The 25,196-nt window shown below is 35.0% G+C and overlaps 1 protein-coding gene across 3 annotated transcripts in view; it reads right to left on the reverse strand.

Annotated features, from left to right (window-relative positions):
• The window catches only part of ADAMTS3 (ADAM metallopeptidase with thrombospondin type 1 motif 3), a 288,253-nt gene that overhangs the window by 20,711 nt on the left and 242,346 nt on the right, over nucleotides 1-25,196 (reverse strand). For all 3 annotated transcript variants that reach the window (NM_014243.3, XM_011532422.4, XM_011532421.2), the window contains exons 6-17: nucleotides 21,335-21,418; nucleotides 19,035-19,191; nucleotides 18,179-18,284; nucleotides 17,653-17,796; nucleotides 16,893-17,025; nucleotides 14,179-14,292; nucleotides 11,998-12,143; nucleotides 10,612-10,787; nucleotides 9,369-9,502; nucleotides 7,718-7,841; nucleotides 4,308-4,388; nucleotides 2,238-2,401 (exon numbers count right to left, since the gene is read on the reverse strand). In NM_014243.3, the coding sequence (NP_055058.2) occupies nucleotides 2,238-2,401; nucleotides 4,308-4,388; nucleotides 7,718-7,841; nucleotides 9,369-9,502; nucleotides 10,612-10,787; nucleotides 11,998-12,143; nucleotides 14,179-14,292; nucleotides 16,893-17,025; nucleotides 17,653-17,796; nucleotides 18,179-18,284; nucleotides 19,035-19,191; nucleotides 21,335-21,418 (1,563 nt within the window). The remainder of the gene's footprint in view (nucleotides 1-2,237; nucleotides 2,402-4,307; nucleotides 4,389-7,717; nucleotides 7,842-9,368; nucleotides 9,503-10,611; nucleotides 10,788-11,997; nucleotides 12,144-14,178; nucleotides 14,293-16,892; nucleotides 17,026-17,652; nucleotides 17,797-18,178; nucleotides 18,285-19,034; nucleotides 19,192-21,334; nucleotides 21,419-25,196) is intronic.

The raw sequence follows: 25,196 nt of genomic DNA on the forward strand, positions 1-25,196 counted from the left end.
CTATAAAACTGGGCAAAATATTTGCAGAAACTTTTTTTTTTTGTTTGGCAATGTATGTCATGACAAAGGACACCAATCCTTGTAAGAAGAGAAACAAGCCAGATCTTATTCCTGACAAGGGCCAGGTTCTGGACCTGGAGCTAGATTAGAGTTTGGAACTTTCAGAGCCGGCCACTAAAGAGGGGCCTGCTTAGAGAGATCACCTAGAAATCTACATGGGTCCATGACTGAGGGTTGGTCTGTGTATGCTCAAGCCAAGACACCAGGCAGTCCACAGTGGGAGTGCTGGGGGTGGGACAGTGATACCAGAAACCAGGCAGGGCTGAGCCTGGCACCATGAAAGGCCACACCATGGGAAGAAGGACAACACTGAAATAGACTAGCTGTAAGGAAGAATAAAACTAGGCCTTAAAGGATCAGAATGATCTGACAATAACTTAACCGCCTGCCAGAACAAAACCAGACACCTTACAATTTATCTTCCAAAATGTCGAGTGTACAAGAAAAAAAGAAGCAGGAAATGTGATCCATAAAAAAAATTGACAATGTGAAGACCCAGAACTTAAAGGGTAACTTAGATGTAATGAGTGAACATTATGAAAAATTCAGCCGAAAAATGGAAATAAAAAAAAAAAAAGAACCAAATGGAAATTCTATAAAAGAAAAGTGCACCATCGGATACGAAAAATTTACTGGATAGGCTCAAGGACAGATTGGAGATCACCTAAGAGAAATAGTGACTTAGAGCTCAAAAGGAATAATCCGATCTGAAAAATGTATTTTAAAAAAGATTATAAAGGATGAACAGAGCCTGAGACTTGTAGAACAATTTCAACTGATTTAAGTGAGTCCTAGGAGTGAAGAAGAGAAAGATGGGGTGGGGGTGAGGGTTTGGGAAAAACAACTAACTAGAACACATCATGGGAAATTTACCCAAATTTGGTCAAAAACATCAACCTACAAAGCCAAGATTCTCAGTGAACCCCAAGCATAAGACATACAAAGAACACGGTAAACTGAGTATATCACAGTCAAACTGCTAAACCAACAAGACAAAACAAAAAGATGAAGAGAAAAATCTTAAAAAGCAGCCAGAGAAAACTGACACATTACATGCAGTGCAGCAATATAAATGAGGCTTCTCTTCATAAATGATGGATTCTGGAAGGCAAGTGCTGTATAAATGAGTAAAAGAGGGCTCCTGTATATTGGCCCCTAGGTTCTTTCTTCACAGCAGGCTGAGGCTGAGATCTGTTAGCTCAAAAGCCCTCTGATGCCAAACACAAACTTTTATACATCCAGTTGTTTTTAACGCTGCCCAAATGAGGGAGTTTTAGCCATTCAGGGACTGCTTGCTTTGCACAGCTCTAGGAAACTACATCCAACATCTGCTAGATATGAATAAGACCTTCTGGCTATAAGGACCTCACGCAGCTGCCTCCCTTGGAGCCCTCTGACCCACAGACTCTCTTCTGTGCTGCTGAATGACACCACCTAGGCACATAAACCACCTCAGATTCCCCTCTTTCTCAGAAGTTCCCTTGCCCTTCTCTCCTCTAGGTAGTGGCCCCACTTGCAAACCAGCTGAGGCCTAGCCCAAATAAAGTGTGTGTGTGCTACTGCCACCTTGTGGCCATATATTTTTCTTTGATCAGCCCCCAAACCCTTGGAACTCGCTGCAAGATCATAAAAACACAGTGCTGAAAGAAGGGAAAACAGGGAATAAAAAACCAAAAAACTAGCAACTCAAATTCTATATCTAGTAAAGATATCCTTCAAAAATGAGGGTGAAATAAAGATATTTTCAGATCATTGACAGATGAGAGAATTACTTGCCAATACACCCACACCACAAGAAATGCTGAAGATCTTTATATTGAAGGTAAATGATACTAGATGGAACGTCAGATGTACAAAGTAGAATGAAAAGCATACAAAATGGTAAATATGTGGGTAAATACAAAAATCTACTTTTAGTGTTGTCTTTAAAAGATGATAACTGATTATTTAAGTCAAAAATCAGAATGCTGCATTATTCAGTTTATAATGTCTATATAATAAATTACATGAAAATATTGCACAAAGAGTGGGGGGAAAGATAAATGGAATTATTTTAAAAAGCAACTCATGTTTCAAAGTTCAAAGTACACTTAATGTTCAAGGTAAAAGTGTTTTCAGATAAATTAATTATAAAGTAAGCTGAGCTAACTATACCATGAGCCCATAATGCCACATACCAAAACAATAACAGGATCATGTAAAGGTCCATCGGTGTGAAGACTTTCAATGTCATCTTCAATGTTATAATCCCACTCCACACCAAGATCTATGAAGGTCCGCGACTTGGCTTCCTCCCCTTTGCCATTTAAAATATAATGGCCTGTAGCCTGGTTCTTAATAGCTAAAGGGAGAAAAATGAGTAACCAGCATACATTTTATTTTATCATATTAAGTGCTGAAGATTCACAGCAAGTATATCCTTTCTACAAATCAATGACCATGTTTCTTTATTAGTAGCAAGGAATCAAAATGGGTGTTAGTTCTGATATTATTTCCATTGTCTTGATTAGGCATTCAAAACTCTCAAGAAGCATTCCTAACTAGTCAAAAATACAGCAAGATGGTTAAATAGGCAAAAATAATGTTTGCAAATATTCCCATTTGAAAACATCGTCAAAGAGGTTAATAGTTTCTAAATCATTTATCCTATATATTTCCTTAGAAAACTGGGAATATCTTGAAAATGATAGCTACCTTTTCAATAATTAATAGAAACAATTTATGCTAGGATAGCATATAATGTAACGGTTAATTATTGCATATATTTTTTAAAGTTGGTCAAAATATTTATAGTCATCCAACATAGTTGAAGTAATTTTTCAGGCAACAATTTAGTTCTCATGATTGTAAAATTCCAGAGCCATATCACCTACTCATATAGTTAGAAAAAGCTGCTTACTGCTAATGGAATTCTTAATGTAGTATATATTTATTACATATTATACAATGAAATAAAATGCTGGCTTAATGAGTAAAAAATAATGAATGGGATTTTAAATTTTAGATTTGTTTATCAGCATATAATGTTACATTAGAAAGCAAAATTTCATGTTACTACAATTATTGAAAATGTGTGAAAAACATGAGTAATTTTAATTAAATGTATTTATTCCTCTTGGGCTTTAAACTGGTCTATTTTTTCCAAGGACATTAATATGAATTCTAGGATGAAAAATAAGGGATTTTAAATGCTTGAGAGAGAACTATAGCTGACTGCTAGACTATTACGACATTTAGTAGTGAATATAAATTAAATGTGTTTAAAAATTCTATGAAACACCATAAAACAATGCACTTTTTAAAGTCACAACTGAAATAAAACAATTTGCTACAAATTTTCATGGAGTTGATACGTGATGTCTTAGCTTCAGAAATTATCTTAGTGTTCTTATAGGCCAAGGAATAAGTAAGTTATGTTTACACTTGTCTATACAATTTAAATGTAAACCTCTTTAAAGTGACATTTCCATGTAATCGTCTCATAAAAGAAAAAAAAATCTTCTTGTGGAAATTATAATCAGCTCTCCGTGGCAAATGGATCTGCATGTGCCAGTCAAAAACCTGACACATGTCAGATATTAGAATAATTTAAGATTAGATTAGTAAAATTCACCTGTGGTTGCTTTTCAAAGAATGTGAAATACAATAAAAATAAGGATACGTACAGTATTGGATCAATCAAAATATCAGAACTTATTTGTAAACATAAGTATGATGAATTTTTCTGATATTCCTTGATTTAGTGGATTTTATTAACATATTTATTTTCTTATTCCTTAGAGCAAAAAGTGTATAAGAAATATAAGCTTGTCAAATGATTTTTCCCTCATATAGTTAGGAACCAACCCCAGTTTCTATACAAAATTAAAGCTCTACTTTTTTTATGTTTCTTGTTTTAAAGTAAGCATAGTTGGGAGAAATGACCAAAAAAAACCTACATAACATTCAATTAATGCATTTATATATTATTTTGATTCTTACATATACGTATGCACATGTATGTACATATACATATGCACATGTACACACATATACACATGCACATGTACGCACATATACGCATGCACATCATGCACATGTACGCACATATACGTATGCACATGTACGTACATATACGTATGCACATGTATGTACATATACGTATGCACATATATGTGTACATATATACATATCTATATTTAGGATTTCTTTGACATTTCAATGTTTCAGTGCATGTTAAAGCAGAGACAGCAGACAGAAACACTTACCAAGAATATGAGGAGAAGCCTCGTCTTCTTGGATTAACACATGTCTAGCCCCAGGGGGTATATCAAACATCTTAAGGTACCCTTTGCATGTGTAGTAAATATTGTAGGAAGCAAAGAAGAAAACAAAAGCAACAACCATGGTTAGTTGAGCACTACATTCTTACTGCTTCTGCGTGCAGAAGAGGGCATCCATAAATTTAAAGAAGCAGTTTCGGAAATTAACTTCAAAGCATTGGTAGCTTTTGTGACATCCAACATGAAATTAGAGGCAACTTTTTTTTTTATTAAAGAGGGAAAAAAGTTAATCTTGTTACCAACGTATTAGTCACTTATCTTGCGTTGACCTTCAAATGATGTGAACAACAATTCAGGCAAATACTATACTTTCCTGTGTCCCTCTGTGTGATTCTAGTTTTCTAAACCATCCTTTTGAAGTGGAGTCAATTTTTAGTGAAAGTTCACTTAAGTTGTAAACTTTTTGGGATATGTTATCTGCTTACATGTTATTTTAAAAGTCTAAGAGGGAAGTATAGACAGCTAAACTTCTAATTATTAAAATATTTTCATATTTAAAGCCTTCTTTATTCTAAAGGAGTTACAACAGAAAAATCAGTGCTTTCATTTTTCTTGTGATCAGTATTAATTTTAAAGCTTTAGGCAAGTTTTATGATGGGACTATTTTAACCAAATCGACAACATGGATTTTAAACCACTTAGTTGGAAAATGTGTGCAAGATGTGTTATGCATTGCCTTTATATGCACCCTAACCTCAAAACCTCCTAAGCCAGAAATAAGAAAATCAATATGCTTAATAGGTTGCTTTGTGTTTTAAAATCATATATCATTCCTATTACTGTAAATGTCATATATCACATACTATGTTGATACTATCACATGTCCTAAAAATTATCTTACAATCATTTAGAATTAAGATTATGACCATAAATCATAAATATTATGACCTGACAATAGTCAGGTCAATTAGAACAGATGTTATACATCTCATTATCATACAAATAAATGAATATAAAATGATTATGTAACCTACACCTTCAATACATTATGAAACATCCAATACATATTCTATGGAGAATATTAACAGAAATCCAGTTATCAATCCACAATTATTGATGAAATAAGAAAAAACAAGTGTTTTTGTCATTTGTATATGTATAATAATATACACCTATGAATAGATTTACCTAAGTTTTTCACAATATTTATTAGTGTCCTAACTAAATAAAGTGGTCCTTTTGGGATCAGGGTGTTCAGCACTTTAGCCTGGGGTAAAGTCTAACACATGAAATGTACCATGTTTGCCTGAGTACACAGTGGCTAAAAGGAACATGCTTAAGATGCCAAGTACAGCAAAACAGCTTGATGCCATTTATGGATGCCCATCTTTCTGCAGTTTGCTACAACTTACCCAGTACGTTTTTAGCTTCTCTTGTTTCAGCAAGAGAAATATTACGAGCTCCTTTGGGTAAAGTGAAAGCGCCTCTTGTCTTCCCTTAAATAGAATGTCTTTAATTAGTGGAGGGTTCATGTTTATCAAAGTCTTGTTGTTTCATTGACTATCCCATAAGTCACATATTTTATTAGGCAAGTTATAAAATATGTTCTGTAAGTTTATGTGTTGAAGTCACAATGCATTTGTAATAGATAATGCCAATAAACTGTTAATAGTCAATGAAAGTAAGACTAAGCATGAAAGTAAGACTAAGTAGATGATTTGAAGTTGAATACTTGCAGATTTCATTTTCCAGCAACTTCAATTCTTTATGGCACCTCTTGCTTAAATGTTTTCCTGTTGGAAAAGGTTAATTAGTCTATTAAATCACTATGATGACAATATTAGTGCAAAGATATGGAAGTTAGATTATCTTTGAACAGTTTGAATTGGTATGACAGATGAAAATTTTCTAATGTTCTTTTGGCCTTGATTTGCAAGTTTAGCATGATGTTTGAACTCTCTGAAAAACAGTACCAATACCTTATATTATACATAATATACAATGAATGAACATGGCAAAACCTTTTCTTTACATTATTCACTGTGGAAATAAAACAAAATGAATTATTTTACATCCAAAAGAAAAGAATAAAATGTAACTCCAAGAAAGCACAGTATATTATTTCACAGCAAGATGAAGAAAATTACATTTGACTCCACTGAAATATAATACACGTATATAATTATATTTCTCTTTGCTTTAATAATGCAATCAGTCAGAAATAGCAATATTTGCTTTTTAACAATTTTCAAAGTACAAAACATGGTAATTTATAACACAGGAATAGCAAAGACATCAGTAACAAGAAAAACATTAGAATATAGTCTCCTAGTAATTGAGTTAGGTATCAGGGGTATAATGGGAATAAAAAATACAAAAACTAAGAGAATTATTTCATTTGGATGAAGACTAACTTTTTTATAAAAGGAAAAGTTACCCCAATGACAATTTACTTAACGTAAACCATATTTCTTTGTTTTTGTTTTACTTTCATGATTTTATAAGATACCAACGGCTCTTTGGAAGACATCAAAATCTTCTTGAGCAAACACCACATCAAATTTATCTTTAAGTGCTGAATTCCCAGAAACATTTGCCAAATAAATCCTTATTGAATAACTGAATAGTATCTGATACAAACTCAAGAAATTATTCAGTAATAAATGTCTGTATACAAATCTTTTATGAAAATTCCAATGAATATTATTAAACTATGGATAATTTTGCCTATTATTTGATGCATGAAGACAGCTTTTTGTTCCACCTTTGAACCTTCAGTGTATGTCTAAGTTCAAGTTATTGACTATGTAACAAGCATAAACATTTATAGAGATGAGCAATTACATCTCAGGTTAGTTTTTGGTTGTACCTCAATTTTGTTTAAAGTAAATTTTTAAAAATTATGTGAAATACAGATCCAAGATTCCTAGATTTATAAACAGGATAAAATTGTTCACTTTTAAAATAAGTAAAACTAATGTGATATTTTAAAAGTTGTATCTAAAATTTTGTAATTTTTAAACTCCTGATCAATAATTTATATGCAACAAGAATTCAAAATAAACACCAATTCTAATAATTCAATCTGCATTTTATTAAAAATGCAAAATAAAACACAGATTTTAGCTAGCTAGTATAACTGATACTGATTTTACTTGTTTCTTTTCTAAATTTAGTATGTATTTTTTTCATCATTGACGCTAGGGAGTATGAATTCATTCAAAGTGATTTCTTTTTTTTTTTTAAGTTCCTTAAAAGGTAATCTGAATAACAATAAATCAGCAGCTAAATTTTGATTATGTTTATAGAGAAAATGCTGCATTTCTAAAGGAAGAAGCCTCAAAAAGTACAAATCACAGAGAAGAATACTAAATCCATGAGAGACCTCATCTTACCAAGCTTCCTGGGAGTTCTGGTAAATGTCCCCTTCACGGTTCGGCAGTGGGAATTATCTCCTCCACAGACACCACACTTATCCTCAACCTTATTAGAACCAATTTCTTTATCACAGCCCACTTTCTGGAGAGAGAAGATGTCAAATGTGGCTAATTTTAGTGTGCCCAGTAGTGGTCAACATCCCAGAGAATGATGAACCCTTTGTTCAGTCATGGCCCACAGTCAGCCAATTTATAGCAAACTGCCACTGTAGTCATAATTTTTAATACCTCAGTTTTTTAAAAAAAATAATGGGAAACCAAATGACTTGTACCCTAAGTAATAAAGAATATATTTCCTCCAGTCCAATGAAATATTTACACCATTTTAAATTGTCATAGTCATCAAACACACATGTAATGAAAACAGATGTAGCTGATGCTGAGGAGACAAGAAAACAACAAGACAGTGCTTTTCCCTTGCTGCTCTCACATTTATGATGATGGATAATATAGTGAGTTGTATATTAGTGCAATCTTTAAAAGATGGTTATGATGTGAGACAAAACTTCACCAGGGTGGTGAAGATTTTCACAGGGGCCAAAGAAACACAGAATAGAAAAGCATTTCAGGAAAGCAGATGAGTTACAACAAAGCCAGAGAAGTATGTTCATGGAAAGTGGGTGCAGAGGTCAATATCTAAACCCATATTTAAACCAATGGAAGGTTAGTGTTTCATGATAAGGAAAGAACAGTGAAAAATCTGCATTGAATAGACTGCAGAAGACTTGAATACCAGGAAGAATTTACATTTTCCCTTGAAACAGGAAAATATTGAAGGTTTTCTGAACCAAGGCATGTTCTTAATGTAAATCACTGTAGAATAATGATACACAATACACTACTGCACTCAAAAGTATGGGATGAAAGGTGGCAGGGAAAATAAAGACAACACATACGTTTAATGTACTAGGTACTGCGGCAGGTAAAAGCTGAACAACACATACTATGCTTTCAGGAAAATGTAAGCTCAATTACTTTAGACTCATTAATACAGCACTTCAGTTTTGATGAAGTATAAAGGAAATATATGTTAGGAGCAGTGTTTCAGTTAATAAGATAATTTCATATCGATTTAACTATGAACACAAGAAATAAAATGCATTTTTAACCTGAGATTAAATGGAGCAAAAAAACATGTTTGCTTCTCTACTACTTTTGTTCTAATGTGAAATTTAGCCTTTAAACTTAGAATTGATTGGAAGGTGAGAAAGAAATGTCTTATTATCTTTACAACAAAAGATTAAATATACTTAGCACTGATTATTTTTAAAAAGACCTTGTATTTTAATAGCAGATGGCTACTAAAATACCCGAAGCAAATGCATTATTACCAATTTGTATTCCCAACCTAGAGGCCTCAGAGTTACTCAGAAAAGGCATTTGGCTGGAAATTAGGAAAATTATTTAAACCTTGATTCTGCCAGTGACCAAAGTTTGATTTGAGAAAGTACAATGTCTCTCAAATTTATTTTAGCTATTGAACTATTCATAGACACTTACTATAATGTGATTTCAAAGATAAAATAGTTTAAAAAATTAAAAATGTGCAGATGAATGACAGTAAACGTAGATAACGTAGAAAGCCTTTGGGGAAGCAATTTGAACTTACCACACACTCTCCTCGCACACATATGCTATATGGATCTTTGTAAGAACAGTGCGTTCCATCATGCACCAGTTGTTTCATGTAAGCAACATCTCCAGTCTCCTTGGACTGACAGTAAAGGTGGCATCTTTTCTTGGCTGCATAAGATGGAGGATAAAATTAACTATTTACATAAAATGGAATGTTTGAACAGCATAGTTTATTTTATTTTTAAATATAAGGTTTCACTGTGATTTCCTGAAAACAAAAGGAATACCGTATAAACAAATAAAATAAGGAGTAAGGAGGAAAGTATGTACATTTGACATTTTTTTTTTAGCTAAGGTGACCATAAAATTTGTCATCTAAACTAGAAAAGGGGTTCTAGTAATAACTGAGCAGGAACAACAGGTATAAACTGGGACTGCCCCAGGCAACCCTAGATTTCAACATAGCTCTTAAATAAATCTTAATTCAAAACCAGTTTAGTTTTCGTAATATTAGAGCACTGAAAGAATGTCTGTGATTTGACTCAATCATCTAACATAGTTTTTGCCTCTTACAGGATGCAACTCACTTCACCAAAATAGATAAAAACAATGCATTTCTTCTTAATGCATTGCAACTTTGAATTCTTAACGTGTATTCCTCTTTCCTTTAACATGGATTTGAACTGAACCCAGTGGTGCATGTAATCATATAACTATTTCCTTTCATTCACTCAAATAAGAAGTATGGCAAAAAGTTGCCATTGGACATATTTAACCAAAAATTCAGAAGTAAGAAGTGAAACATTAAAAGAAAATTTCCAAATATATCTTTAAACTATAGTAAAAAAGTAAAAGGTTATAAGGTATCTTTTGTTATTAAATTATGATCTTTCTCTTGGTCCTGACTCAATTTTCAAAGAACTATATTTTTCTCTAGTTCAGAAAGGAAAGATCACAATATTCCAGAAGTATTTCCTAGTAGAGGGATTTCGGTTGAATCAGGAATTCCAACATCTCTCCCAGGCGTTCCTTTCCACTGGTCTTTTCACCGCTGATGGTGATAGTGCTGCTTGCCAGGAACTATTGCACCATTCTTACCTCTTTAGAGAAAGGGTATTTAAGCCTTATTCTTAGAAACCCAGGAGAACTTACTCCTATAAGCACCAAGTTTCCTAAGTTACCACATAGGGATCAAGAGTCCATGGGGTTCGTGCTGGCAAAGCTTAAACTGTGAGTAACCATCCACACAGCAGGAAGGAGAGCACGAGGCTACTCACGGTCAGGATGTTCATATGGCAACCAGTGGTGTTTGGTATTCTGGTATTCAAAGTGGGAGTTTCGCTGCTGACACTGCTGTGCTCTGAAGTCCTCAAAGTGTTTTTGGCATTCTTCTGTGTTACAAAGCTGGTACTCAAAATTAACACCAGGACAATCCTGACCACCATTGATGGGCCTAAAGAAAAGACAACATTTAAAAAGGCCTTTTGGCTTCTGTCTAGCAGTTGAAGCTTGCAGACACAGTGCTTGAGGGCACAAAGCCAAAGTTTCTGGGCTGCCAGCACAAAGTGAATGAACTCATACTTCCTAATTTCAGTCCCTTTCCAAAGCACCCTTCTCTCCCTGCTGGGTGGAAAAATAAAACAAAACACAAAGCTCAACTTAAATCAGCTTTTCAAATCATATATTTTAAATGCATGGCAAAAGTGTGTAAGAAAAAAAAAGCATGTATATTGAATCAATAAAATGATATTTTGCTACCATGTATAAAACACACAGATGCAGCTCAAAGAAACTTTGGTCATCGCTCCATGGCTCGGTTCCCTCATATGTAAAATGCAAATAATAATGTATCTTCCTTTGAGGAAAACTGTGAAGATTAAATGAGTTGACATTATTTAAAGCACTCCTAACAACTCTGGCTCATAATGAACTTTAGCTGATCTTTTAATTTTTATTGTCTTTGTTACTTCTAATACCACCATCATCTCTTACTGGGAAGGCAGGTATGTGGCATCAGATAGTCTTACAAAAGACGTGCTCAGAGACATCCTGCTGCCAGAAACAGAGAGAAAAAGCTGCTCACATATTAAACCCTAGACAAGGCAGAATCCTCTAAATGTGAGAATTCAGTTGTTTTTTTCTTCGTAAAGATTGCTGAGCACACAATAGGGAATTCAGTAATTGTAGTCTGAGTGAATGAATAGATAACTTTCCCCCAACAGTCACCTGGCCTTCTATCACAATCTTTCTTTTGCCTTCCTCTGAAGCAATCACATTCCACTCCCTGAAGAGAGAGAGTCTGTATGCTTGGTACCGCTCTTTCCTGGACACTCTCTTGTTTCTGGCAGTCAATCTCGCAGTGCCCATGCCCACGCCCTTAGGGCACAGTGACCTACTTTCCTTGTTCAGCTTCTTAATATTCCTGAACAGCAACTTCTTTAAAAATATTCAATCTTCGTTTGATCTTCTTCATCACTGACTGCTTGTCACAAGATTAATAAATGGAGATGTATCAAAAACACAGACTGGTTTATGAACTGTGAACAATTTATTTTCCTGCCCTGTGTTTTACATGCACTTTATAAAACAGAATACTAATAACATAATATTGAAGTATTTTCTGGTCTCTCCAAAAATAACAAGAGTTACAAGGATATACTCACATGGGATTATTGCACTGGCGTGTTCTGAAACGAACACCAGTTCCACATGTCCGAGAACAGGAGCCAAATTTAGTCCATGACCCCCAATTGCCATCTTGTTTTTGCTGATTAGCATTCTTCCACATGCAATGACCCTTATAGCACCACTTAGAAAAATGACAAAAGGTAATTATTAAAATCACGCATACACTAAAGCTGAAGTTGTTATACAAGAACCATCTAGTTGAAGGGCTTTCTTACTGCTCTTTTTTCTTCCAGGTGGAGATGCATTTAAAATTATCCAAAAGCAATTATGTCATTAATATACCCTATTAAAGGGTAATTTAGACTTGTATTTTTCAAGTAGAAAATTAAAATGGAAAAACAACATTCACTCAGACAAGTTTTTAAATGATACATTCACCAGTAAGCATCAAACACTATAATCAATAAGAACTCTTTGAGCACCCAGCTTGCACAGTTGGTAAGATTTTACCCTTCATCTGTCACTACCTATATCATACCAGAATATTTTGAGGGCTACATGATCTTTTTAAAAATGATAAAATAAACTATGTCTTGGTTTAGATAATAATATAACATGTCTAAAACATATGCAGCTTTCAAAGCACTTTTATTTAACTTTTAAAATGTTTCATTAACAATGATTCTGAGAGATAGATGGGTCATACATATATCATCAACAATTAGATGAGGAAAATTGAGGCCCAGAAAGGTTCATAAGTAGTTGAAGGCCATCTGACCAAGAAGTAATTAAGTGGGGCTACCAGAACCCTAATACTATAGAGGCACCTAGCTTACAGTGCCTGGCATGGTGCTCAAGAGACATTAGCCATTTTCCTCTCTAACATTTTGACTTACTTTTTCACACTACGTACAATAAAAGCATTTGTTAAAACTCAACTTCTATAAATTTCAATATAACACCAATATATTTAAGAAAGTTGAATGTTAAAAAGTTAATTATATAATTTTTTATAAAGCAAAAATGAATTAACTCGTTATACTCTTGTTTTTAGTCAGAAGTTTATGATATTGAATTTTCCCAAAGCAAAACATTGTATACAAGGTGCTTTGCATAGTGCCTAATATAATGCAAACACTTAAAAAGACAGGTTTTATTATTATTATGCATATAATCCCTGTCACAAGTACAGTTTATACACATTTGAAATTGAGCTTTAAAAGAAGTAAATGCCATATAAATCTTCTGTACCAGGTTTTGGTCCTGCCTACAATTTCTTATTTCTAAACTAGTCAAAGCTTTTCAACTTGAGTTCTTAACATGCCTTTGTTTTGGGATCTTTGCCCTTATGAGTAGCATAGCTTGGCACTCAGCCAATTTCTGAGCATTCAATCCTGACTACACAATTTGAGATTTAAAACCTCTGGGCATCCTTCCCTAAGGAACAAGGCCAAATCTTCTGTATAAGTTCACATGACTTTATTTCTGGGCAACTTTCACAAGGAATGGCATGCCAGCAAGTCAATCAGATCCCACTACCAGGGGGCAGATAGTCTGCTGAGTTGCTTCTTCCTATTCTGCCAACAGTGGGCTGAATGGTAGTCCCAAAGATATCAAGTCTTAATCCCCGGAACCTGTAAATGTTACCTTATTTGGAAAAAGGGTCTTTGCAAATGTGATTAACTTAAATATTTTAAAATGGAGAGATTATCCCAGATTATCCATGGGGTCCTAAATGCTGTTACATGTATCCTTATAAGAGAGGGGTAGAAGGAGATTTGACCCATAAAGATGAGGAAAACGCAATGTGGCCACAGAAGCAGAAACTGGAGTGGTGCAGCCACAAATCAAGAAATGTGGGGTGGCCACCAGATGCTGGGAGAAGCAAAGAAAAGATTCTCCACTACAGCCTTTGGAGGGAGAATGGCCCTGCCCACACACTGATTTCAGTTCATTGAAATTGATTTTTGACTTCTGGCCTCTAGAACTGTGAGGGAATAAATATCCATTGTTTCAAGCCAACAAGTTTGTGAAAATTTGTTACCTTAGCCACAGGGAACTAGTACACTATTTTAGTACATTACTTTAATAAAGCCTTGCATACTATGGTTTTCATAAAAATGACAGTGCAGCTGTGTTTACCATTTTCCAGACCTTTAAAGATGATAATTATGCAACATATCTTACATATTTATTGTGTAAATAGATATACTCACTTTTCCAGCAGCACATTCAGTCCCATCAAGTGGAGGTCCCTTTTTAGTCTTACAAAAGTAGGGATTATCAGGATGGCTACACCACAGCTGTTTACATGGGTCAAAGGTTCGGAACTGGAAGATAGATAATCAAATTGTCAGTGAACTCTCAGCTAGCATGACATGCACCAAAAATATATTCTATACAGTTTCTTCTGTCCTGTTTCTTGGATGTGTTTATTTCAAGTTAATAGCCAATGTTTTGACATGTTGAAAAAAAACTGCATAAGAATTTCAGGTAGAAAATACTTTTATTCTGCTTTTCTAAAATAACAATGATAAACAATGATTTGTCTGAGATTATCTGGTTGACTTTTAAGGTTTTTGCTTGCTGTTTTTATGTTTTGTTTTTCAAATAGACAATGTTGAAATTTTCTAAAGACTTAGTAATTATCATGAATATTGTAAATATGAAAATATAATGGTTTGGCAGCTCTCAAGCTATCAAAATGTCTTTTCTTTATCTCTGTAGGTATCAGATAGATAGTTGAATATAAATAATAAAAGGGCTGGGCACAGTGGCTCATGCCTGTAATCCCAGCACTTTGGGAGGCTGAGATGGGTGGATCACCTGAGGTCAGGAGTTCAAGACCAGCCTGGTCAACATAGTGAAACCCTGTCTCTACTAAAAACACAAAAAAATTGGCCAGGCATGTTGGTGCATGCCTCTAATTCCAGCTACTTGGGAGGCTGAGGCAGGAGAATCGCTGGAACCCAGGATGTGGAGGTTGCAGTGAGCCGAGATCAAGCCACTGTACCCTCCAGCCTGAGTGACAACAGTGAGACACTATCTCAAAATAATAATAATAATAATAATAATCATAAATACTTATAATTAATTGACTAAAAGCAGAAAAAAATTGTCAAACTTTCTGTGTAAGATAAAGTATTCTAGGTACAACAAAATATCATAATACATTCATATAGTTTATGAAATATTTTCCATATATTTGATTCTCATACCAATCCATTGCTGAGAAATATGGGTTACAAGTTAGGGCTATAGTTATGGTTATAAGTAAGACAGCAACAGCACAAGACTAGAGTCTTGGTTTTCATACTCTTCAGAATGGTTTTTATTTTCTGAACACACCACATTATAATATCCAAATGTTTGTATAAGCAAACATGTGTATTTGTGTGTTCTCTTTGCTTGTTTGCTCTTTTTCTCTCTAAATGTAAACATCTTACCAATCATTATATTTTTAAAAATATCAAACAACAGCTAATCCACATATCTATTGCCTATACTGCTAATTACCTACATACACCCTTATGTGCATAGAAATTTTTTTATTAGTACACATTTTTAGATGTGGGTTTTTTGTTCTAATCCTTATTATCGAATGTGGAAATTCCACTTTTCCATGACATTAAGCCAAAGCTTTAGAATTCTCTGATTTAAAACATTAATGCAAGTAATTAGGAGCTCACAGTGTATACCTTATAGACAGACCAAATGGTTGTATATGGAAGGTTTCAAACAGCAGATCAATTTCTTTCTAGCCCCATGAAACACTTACGTTCCTTGCTCTAACACCCAAAGCTTGCTCCAACATAGAAAAAGGCCTTCTTTTTTTTTTTTTTTTAATGAATTACTAAAGACCAATGTGGAAATTTAATGAAATATACATCTAATGTGAATAGTTACAGGCAAGACTGGCTTTAATGGATTCCATTTAACATATATACGTGCCTTTCTTGTGCTAAGCACTTTAATTATATTATCAAATTTAATCCTCACACCAATCTTATCAGATACATACTATCATTATCCACATATTACACATGAGAAAGTAGTCCAGAGAGATTAAATACGGTGCCCAAGTTTATATATTTAAAAAGCATCAGCTGGGCACAGTGGCTCACGCCTGTAATCCCAGAACTTTGGGAGGCCAAGGCGGGCAGATCACAAGGTCAAGGAGTTTGAGACTAGCCTGGCCAATATGGTAAAACCCCGTCTCTACTAAAAATACAAAAAAATTAGCTGGCGGTGGTGGTGCATGCCTGTAATCCCAGCTACTCGGGAGGCTGAGGCGGGAGAATTGCTTGAACTCAGGAGGCGGAGGTTGCAGTGAGCTGAGATTGCACCACTGCACTCCAGCCTGGGCGACAGAGTGAGACTCCGTCTCAAAAAAAAAAAAAAGAAAGCGTTAGATCCAGGACCTGACCCACTGTCCTGACCCCCATGGTATGCCATATGATTCTTTTACTAGACTATACCAGCACAATCCTTCCCTATGGTCACACATACATGGAATCCTGCCATCAAGCTAAAGAAAAGCAATAAATCTAAGGCTTAACAGTCATCTTCTCTGAAGGTCACAAAAAGCAGGGGATGCAAAGAACATGAAGATTTGAGCCTGGCAGCCTTGGTTTCAAAGTCCAGTTCCCCTGTTTACCAGCTGTGTGCCTTAAGCAAGTTGCTTAATCTCTAAGTCTTGGCTTTATCTTCTGTAAAATAAAAGTACATCAGCTCTCTGCTAGTCTGTCATGAGAATTAATTAAGACAATATATTTAAAGCATTTAGCTGTAGCACACAGCAACACAATGAACACAAAATAACTGCTAGATATTATTATACTTGCACCAGTGAGTCTGTAAATCTCACCAAGCAGGAGCTACACAAATAGATTTCGAGCTGCAAAATCTACATCAACTGTGAGCAACATACCGCGGTGCACATTTTATAGCCAACACCAAAATCAAAACGACATTGCTCATCCATAGAATAATTGATTCCAGGAAGTTCTGGGAGTTTAGGCCAATCATGATCAAAAGGGTCATCAAGGAGACAGTCATAGGAACTGTAGGAAGAAAAATATTGCATGTAGTTAAATGTTCACTTAAAAAAATCATGTCCTGATTTAAAAAAAAGTAGTCTTAGCTTATATACTTTAGAATTTCATCCCAGATCATACAGCAAATTTGCAAAAACATGTATTTAAGGTTTTGGTTTTGGTTCCATTTAGAAAAAGACTCTTTACCTGTATTCATGCCAGGAAAGTAAACCAAGCATGACTTAGGAATGTAGTAGAGCCACGATTATTTGAGTCACTAATTAAACCACCACATGGTGTGGTAGGGCACATCCTGACACCTATACTGTAGAGCACAGCTCGTATCATATGCAGAAACCACATGACCATCCTCCCCCCATCCTCAAGTTTGACCATTAATCAAAGATTCGATAACAATTTACTAAAGGAAAATTACATTACAGTTAAAAGTTTACTTATATTCTAGACTTATGGCTTCAAGTATTGTGACTCCATGATAAAATTTTTGTGCTGAATGTTCTAAGTCATAAGAAAATGTTTATCAGTAATAGTTTTCATTTACTGGGAATTTTGCTATGATCAAGTCCTAAGAGTCAGTTTCATGTCTGTAGGCTATAAAATAAATACTTTCATGACATGCAGCAGGGGACATACTGGATATATCTTTTCAGTTCTTGACCACTGCATCGGGACCAGTGGTAACGATGGAATGCTGCTTGTACCAAGGGAGCCATGACACTTCCCATAGCAGTCTCATCACCACACCTGTTGCCTTGTCCATCATGCTCCATTCCCAACCTAGAACACAAAGAGACCTCAGTGGTAAGAATCAGGGGCTACTGCCTTCACTTAATTTTGGTTTTGAAAATAAGCCCTGGGAAATAACGTATTTTTGAGTCAACGTGGCTTTCTTGAAGAAGTCACAGAAACGGAAATTGACAGCAATCTGACAGAAATGCCTTTCTTATTCTATAGCTCTGAAAACCACAGGAGTGCCTCTGCAAGCCAGTCACTCATTTAGTTTCCGTGCATGACCTCTTCTCTGTTTGCAGCTCTTCACACTTGGCAAAAGACAAGAATTGTATGCTGGCATGCATTCTGCCCAAAGAGGAAACAATACTGGGAGAAGCAGGAAAGAAAAGATCTTTTTTTGGCTTTATAGCTGTCAGCAGTGACTTACACATGGCCCGTTTCATGGGCTACTACAAAAGCAGATGAAAAACCATCCTCATGATTCAGGGTACAACTTCTCACTGGATGACACATGCCGGTGACTGGAGCATATCCTGTAGAGAATAACAATTACTTTTATTTTCATTTTATGAGAAAACCCATTAAGAATTACAACTGGACTTTTGCCTAGGGGGAAAAAAGTAAAAGCCTTTCAGGAAACAGGGGTAGCATTATTTCCCTACTAGCATTGTGTCACATTCTCTTGGGAAAGCCACAGGTAATGTTCTCTAAAAAGGTTCACTGGGTCTGCATTTTCTCCTTTCCTAAGGGAAGGAATGGCCTGGGGTTACCATTTTCTTCTGCCCACCAGCTAAGCCCTGCCTTTCTGTTTTAGTAAATGGTCCTTCATATCGTGGTACTGATGAAGGAAGCCAGAAATTCCATCAATGTTAAAAAGAAAATCATCAGTCTCCTTCTTCCAAAGTCCACATCAGAATTTATTAGATAAATGTAAGCTGACTTTGGAAGAAAGCTCTTTGGCAGCAGTCATTTCTCATGGCATCTCTTTTCTCATTCCAAACAGTTAGTGGAAATCACACTGCATTTTACAGCACCCCCTCCATGCCCCAAATGCACAATCACTATTTTAAAAGCAAGTATAATTTACGATGGTATTTAAGTGGCATTTAACATTGAGAACTCCACATAAGTCACTGTAAGCAAAAGAAAGAAAATGTATGCTTGGCCGGTGTGTGGTGGAAAGCAGTGGTGGAGAGCAGAACATTTGAACAGACTGCCTGATTTAGGATTACTTTTTAAAAGTCATGCCCTCAAGTATTTCTTCTACATATTGACAGCAATACCTTGCATTCCAGCAGGTCCAAAGTCTTGCCTGGTTAAAAAAATTGCATGGTCATGGTGTTCAGAGTGGTTGAGATCAGATCTTTGCTGTTGGGACGCCCAGCGACACACATTCTCCAAGCTTCTGGATGGGTTTCCCCTTTCTATGAGGCTGATGGACTAAGTGAAAACAATATGTTAAAGACACACCTGACAATTTCCCAAAGGCTTCGTTTGATAATTTCCTCTGAAGCTGAATTTGGGATTAAAGTATTTAAACAATGATTCAATAATATTTGGGGCTTATTCTGATATTTGCTTTGATTTGTGACTTCTAAATGCCCATGAAGGATATTTTAATAATAATCAATTTTACCTGTGTGAAAGTCAAATGATACCATTTATGAGAATGGTTTTGTTATATTTGAGACAGAATCTCACAATTTTACCTGTGGGAAAGTCAAATTATACCATTTATGAGAATGGTTTTGTTTTGTTTGAGACAGAATCTCACTCTCTCACCCAGGCTGAAGTGCAGTGGCACCATCTGGACTCACTGCAACCTCTGCCTCTCGGGTTCAAGCAATTCTCATGCCTCAGCCTCCTGAGTAGCTGGGATTACAGGCGCCCACCACCATTCCTGGCTTTTTTTTTGTTTTTTTTTGTATTTTTAGTAGAGATGGGGTTTCACCATGTTGGCCAGGCTGGTCACAAACTCCTGACCTCAAATGATCTTCCTGCCTCAGCCTCCCAAAGCATGGGAATGTTTGATACTGAGATTTGCTATTGTGAGGCAACTTAACATTAATCATTTAGGTAATAATTTTAGTAGTCTAAATAATTTCTGATTTGGCTTAGATTTCAGTTTCATAGAATTAAGAACAAAAACATTGAGAAAGATTCTGGCATGTTTTTCCAGAGATGTGAAGGTATAAAATCTTAGTTAAGATTTTTGTTTATTTTTTACGATCCAGAATTAATCAACATGTGGGGAGAATATGAATTCTTCCATGAGTTGACAAGGCTGATGAAATCTTAGTCTATGGAGAACCATCAAATTATATTAACTTTACACTAAAAAACAAAAACAAAAACTCCCATTTTTTTTTTAACTTCATGCTACTGAAGAGGGGTGGACTCTTCCAGTTCTGATATAAGAAAATAAGTTCTTTGAATGTTGCTACCATCACATTAGGGTCAGGAGTTAAAAGTTCAGGGGGGAAAAGGGCCCAACCTTCAAGAACTCACTAGCCACACTTCTCAGAGTAGTTCTGATGAAATGAAAATTTGAACTTGGAACCAAAAATTAGTCCCTATTTGACTGACAGGCGAATTTTGTTATAGTTCAGCAAATGTTATTACCAGTGTTTACATTCTTAATAAAATCAGTTTCCTTTTTTAATATACGGATCACATACTTTTCCAAACAAATGCTTTAACAACCAATTGGAGGCTGTTATTTCCAGCTGGAGTTAATTCATATTCCTTGTTGGCAATATAAAATAGATTGATGACACTCTATCATTATAAAATGATAAGTGGATGTTAACTGTATAATGAAATGCAAACACATGGATTTTTCCTATTTCCTAAATGTACAACTTCGTTAATATTTCATAATCAGGAGGATTAACTATGGGAGAGAGATGTGTAATTTTAAACATCAAGAAAGTTGTCAGGCTAGTCGTTTCCTGTATGTTTCCTCCTTAAAGGAGCTAAACTCAATTATATTACATGAAATGCCTACTATGTGCATTTTTATCCAACTCTTTGCTTTTGAAAAAATTAAAGCTCTTTTAAATGAAAAATATTCACTCTGCACCTTCCTCTTAAGTGGAAAGATATATGTATATAAAATATTGTTTTTAGCGAATCAAGAGAAGACAAAGATCTTTGTCTTTTTTCTTCATTATATATTCCAAGCACCTAGAAAATGTCTGGCACTTAGTAGGCATTCAATATAATCCCTTCTAATGAATAAATGAAACACACACTCGATGATAACAATAGGCTAAGGAAATTCTCTCTCCTCATAATAGTATCCATTCATTTCCATTCATAAGTCACACCTAAAGTCAGGGTAATTATCTACCTCTTTAGACAGAAATAAATAAGCAAGTGGCAGCTGCACAAAAATCATTCATAATCTGCTCAAATTTGGAAGTCTCCACTCATGTGGCAGTTTCTTCTCCTCAATTTCAAGCAACTAGGGGTTTATATGGAATATATCTATGCCTTAAGTTAGATGTAGCTTGAACAATTTAGTCTTCTATTTGCTAACCCAGTCCCTAATGTTTATAATTCATGTTTTAAGACATTTTACCTTTGCATATCCCAGCATTATCATGCGCACCAGGACCACATTTATATGCACTCCGAGGGACTCATCATGGTAAATTTCATTCACCTAGCAACAAAAAAAGATAATTGCTAAAAGAAAGGAAACACCGAGGATTTCATGAGATGTACATATAAGCTGTGTAATCACCACAAATAGGTGAGTAAATTGCTGTTTTTAAATTGAGTTTAATAGCTGAACTCTGAAAGGTAGTCATTTACTTTTAGCTTTGGTACAATGTGTGGATATGTAAATTGCTAATTTTGTAAACTCCACAGTAATATGAACGTACAGGACATGCTCAAAAGGGCTTTGTTATACTAGTGCAGTGTTAGAAGGAGTCTATGTGTGATGTAATCCAAATATAACATTAGCCAAAAGCAACCACAGGAGGGTAACTTTGGCAAATCATCTGCTAGCCTGTGAGTTGCCTGCAACCACAGTAAAGGAAAACAGCAAGCATTTGCTTACTGGGGTGCCTGTGTGACAACCAGGGGTGCTACGTCTGGTTGAGAGAGCCAATGGCTATGGGGTCTGTGTGCAGGAGCTGTGGTAGTGTATCTGAGGGCCAGCTAGCAGGTGGGGCAGGTGAGGCAATGACTGCTTGAAAGTCCTACAAGATAGAAATCCTCCAATATTTAAGTTACTAAGGAGACTGTACGAGTACCTGTCAGATGAATGTCAGCCCTGGATGCAACTCAGAAGAGCAAATTTGAGTCACTGCTTTTTATTTAATTTTAAAAAATTAGGCTGAAATTTCTAAAAGTGACTTGGTATACTTTAAAATCATAGATGTTGGAATAAGTGCAACCTCAGAGGTCATAGTCCAATTCTGTTTTATACAGATGAAGAAAATAAAGCCTGTAGAAATTATCTGACATGCAAAACACAGAGTGAGCTACTGGCAGATATGAATCTGAAGTGGACTGTAACTGTATCTTCTCATTAACCTAGTGCAAAATTAGTGCAAATAAAAAATGCTAGCAGGAAGGAGAAAGGTGGAGTTACCAGGCTAGAATGCAAAGTTCTTAGAATGAAGACTCGACACTTGTTAAAAAGACTAAAAGAGGGATGAAAAACTAACTGCAACTCAGCTTCAGATCCAGGAGATTTGAACAGTAGACACAGCAACCTGAAAGCTGCACAGAAAAGACAGGCATAATCTCATAGCGAGTGGCTTTAAAAATAAATATAACTCAAGAATGATTGAAGAATGCTCTAAAACAAGAAATTCACAAATCATAGTATTTTGATTTGCCACACTAACCAAGAAAAAGACCAAGAAGTCTCAATTGAATTGTTTCAAGAATCCAACGTGACTGCACAGAACACCTTTAAAAAAATCAGGGTCTTGAATGTAGACTGAAAGCATACTTACTGAATTTGTAGAAGTCACAAACAAGAAAAGAACAGCAAAGGTGGAAGTAAAAAATCTGGCTAAGCTAGAATATACTAGAGATAACAAAGTATAACTTGAAAAGATGTGAAGTCCTTTTAAGTGGAAAAATGCATGTATACACACATACATTTATACATATATACACATGCACATGCACACACACATGTACTCACATACATAGAATGGTAAGACCCAATTTAATACCTGTACGAGATAAGCCAAGCTGTGAAAAAAAATCTGCAATACAATCTTGGATTGCATAAGTGTGCAGGCAGATAGCTCATGCACAAGTTGTCCCACTCTAGGCTACAGAAAACCTGAAGTATTGAGTGCATTTTTCTGGGCTGTCTTATGACAGAGGTGCTTGACAAAACATGAATATATCCTGAGAAGAGCTAACAGCAAGGAGGCCAGAAAATGTGTCTTATAAAGAAGGGTTGGGGATACATAATGGTTAAAAGCCTGAATGTCACACATTAATAGTCTCAGATAAATCCTGGTTCAACCCCTCACTGCTTGTGAGACCTTTATTTTTCTGAGTCTCAATAAAATGGACATAATAAAAATAATATCTCATAGGGTTAGGGTGAGAATTAAGAGAGTTAACTCATGCAAACAAATCGCTAAAAAATTTTATAAGTGAGAGGGAGGAAAGGGTTTTTTAAGGATATTAGAGTATGAGAAATGGAAAAGAAAAACAAGAATTAATAGCCTTCATATGGAAAAGGGGTTTGATTCATTGTATATATCTATAGAAAATAAAACTTAAAACCATTCACATTATTAAAGGGGTAAATTTCAGCTCAATATAAAGAAAAAGTCAATGTTAGACAAAAAGCTGTTGTTTCTTATGGGCTTTTTAGTCATGGGCTGATTCTCTTATCTTATGCCACACTTCATGCTGCCTAGTTGAAAAGTGAATCAAATCTTCCACCCTCCTGTTCTGGATTCATTATCTGATAACATATTCCTAACTTTATAGTTGCAATAAAAGTTAAAAGTCAACAACCAGGCCTGTCACCAACACATTCATTCAGAGACTCATGTCTATCCCAAGAGGCTTCTTGTAAGGCAGCTGTTTCAAATTAGAAACATGGCTTTGCACACCAAGTTATAACATGTATTTAGTTCAATGAAGTTGAGATGTAAAATGCACTTTGTGTTAAAATAAGGTTGAAAGCAATGTTAGTAAATAAAACTAGATAACAATAAAACAAAACTAAAGAAACGGAAACAGAAAAAGTGAATTAATTTCTGGAGAAGGAGAAGTAAGGAAGAGTAGGAGGCACTTACAGCCAATGCATATAACAGTGACAGCTATACTGTAACATATGTAATACATCAATGCTATAGGAAGCTCCTACAACAGAAAGTCTTAGAATAATAAAATGAAGGAAAGATGGGAATAATGACAAATAGCTTGTGATATTTGAGTTAGTATAAAATGCACATATAATCATCCTAAATTAGTAAATTCATTTGTACTTAGTGAATTATAAAATTAACACAGTGTCAAGAAAGTACAATGGACAAAATTATTAATCTCAATAGCAAATAGGATATTATAAAATGAATAAAAGAGCATTTTTAAAATTCAGATTTACCATTCACCAAAATAAAAGTATTACTTAACAAAAGTCACTATTATGCCAGGCTAATTAGAAAACAGGGTGACCCAGTAGAAACCAAAATCAGTTTAAGAATGTTCTGAGTCAGCACACATTTTGAGATTCACAAAGTATACATAAATTATTATAGGTAGAAATAATCTAATACAAGGGAATAATATTTTTGCATAGCACAAAGTATTATTTCAATGTGGCAAATAACCAGCTGTCTGTACTGTACAAAGCACTGTATCTTATTATTTTGATTTTCAAGGCTTAAAAAAGTTCCTCCATATTATTCACTTCCAAAATATACTTAATAATTTGACTGCTTTTCATCTTGCCAGGCCCTATCAATTCCTGAGATGTAGTGTTTTTATATTGTGAAACACATGGAGTATGATAAGAGCTGGAGAAATAATATGGCACCATATTATTAGATATTCAAAACCCTGGGTTCTGTTCCCAGTTTGGCCACGGATAAACTGAGTGACCTTCGGTTGGTCATTTAACCTGAGTCTCGATTTTCTTGTTGACAAACTCTACTTTTACTTGCTTTGTCTGTTTCACAGTGTTGTTGCTCAAAACAAGCAAGATCATACAACTATACTCGGCAAAATACAAAGTACTTGAGCTCCTATCCCCCATCCATGCACAAAGTTTAAAAAAAAAATTGTGAGTGTATTTTCATAATCTACCTGAAAAGTTCAAGAAAAACAATTGCCTTAATCACAGTTTTTACTGAAAGGGACCTCAAGATTCTTCTATTTGAAATTTGTTAAATCTCAATCTCAATGAAACATCTAGTTTAAATTATCAATAAAATTACTGGGAAAAATCA

The sequence above is a fragment of the Homo sapiens genome, chromosome 4 (genome assembly GCF_000001405.40).
Source record: "Homo sapiens chromosome 4, GRCh38.p14 Primary Assembly".
Lineage (NCBI taxonomy): Eukaryota > Metazoa > Chordata > Mammalia > Primates > Hominidae > Homo > Homo sapiens.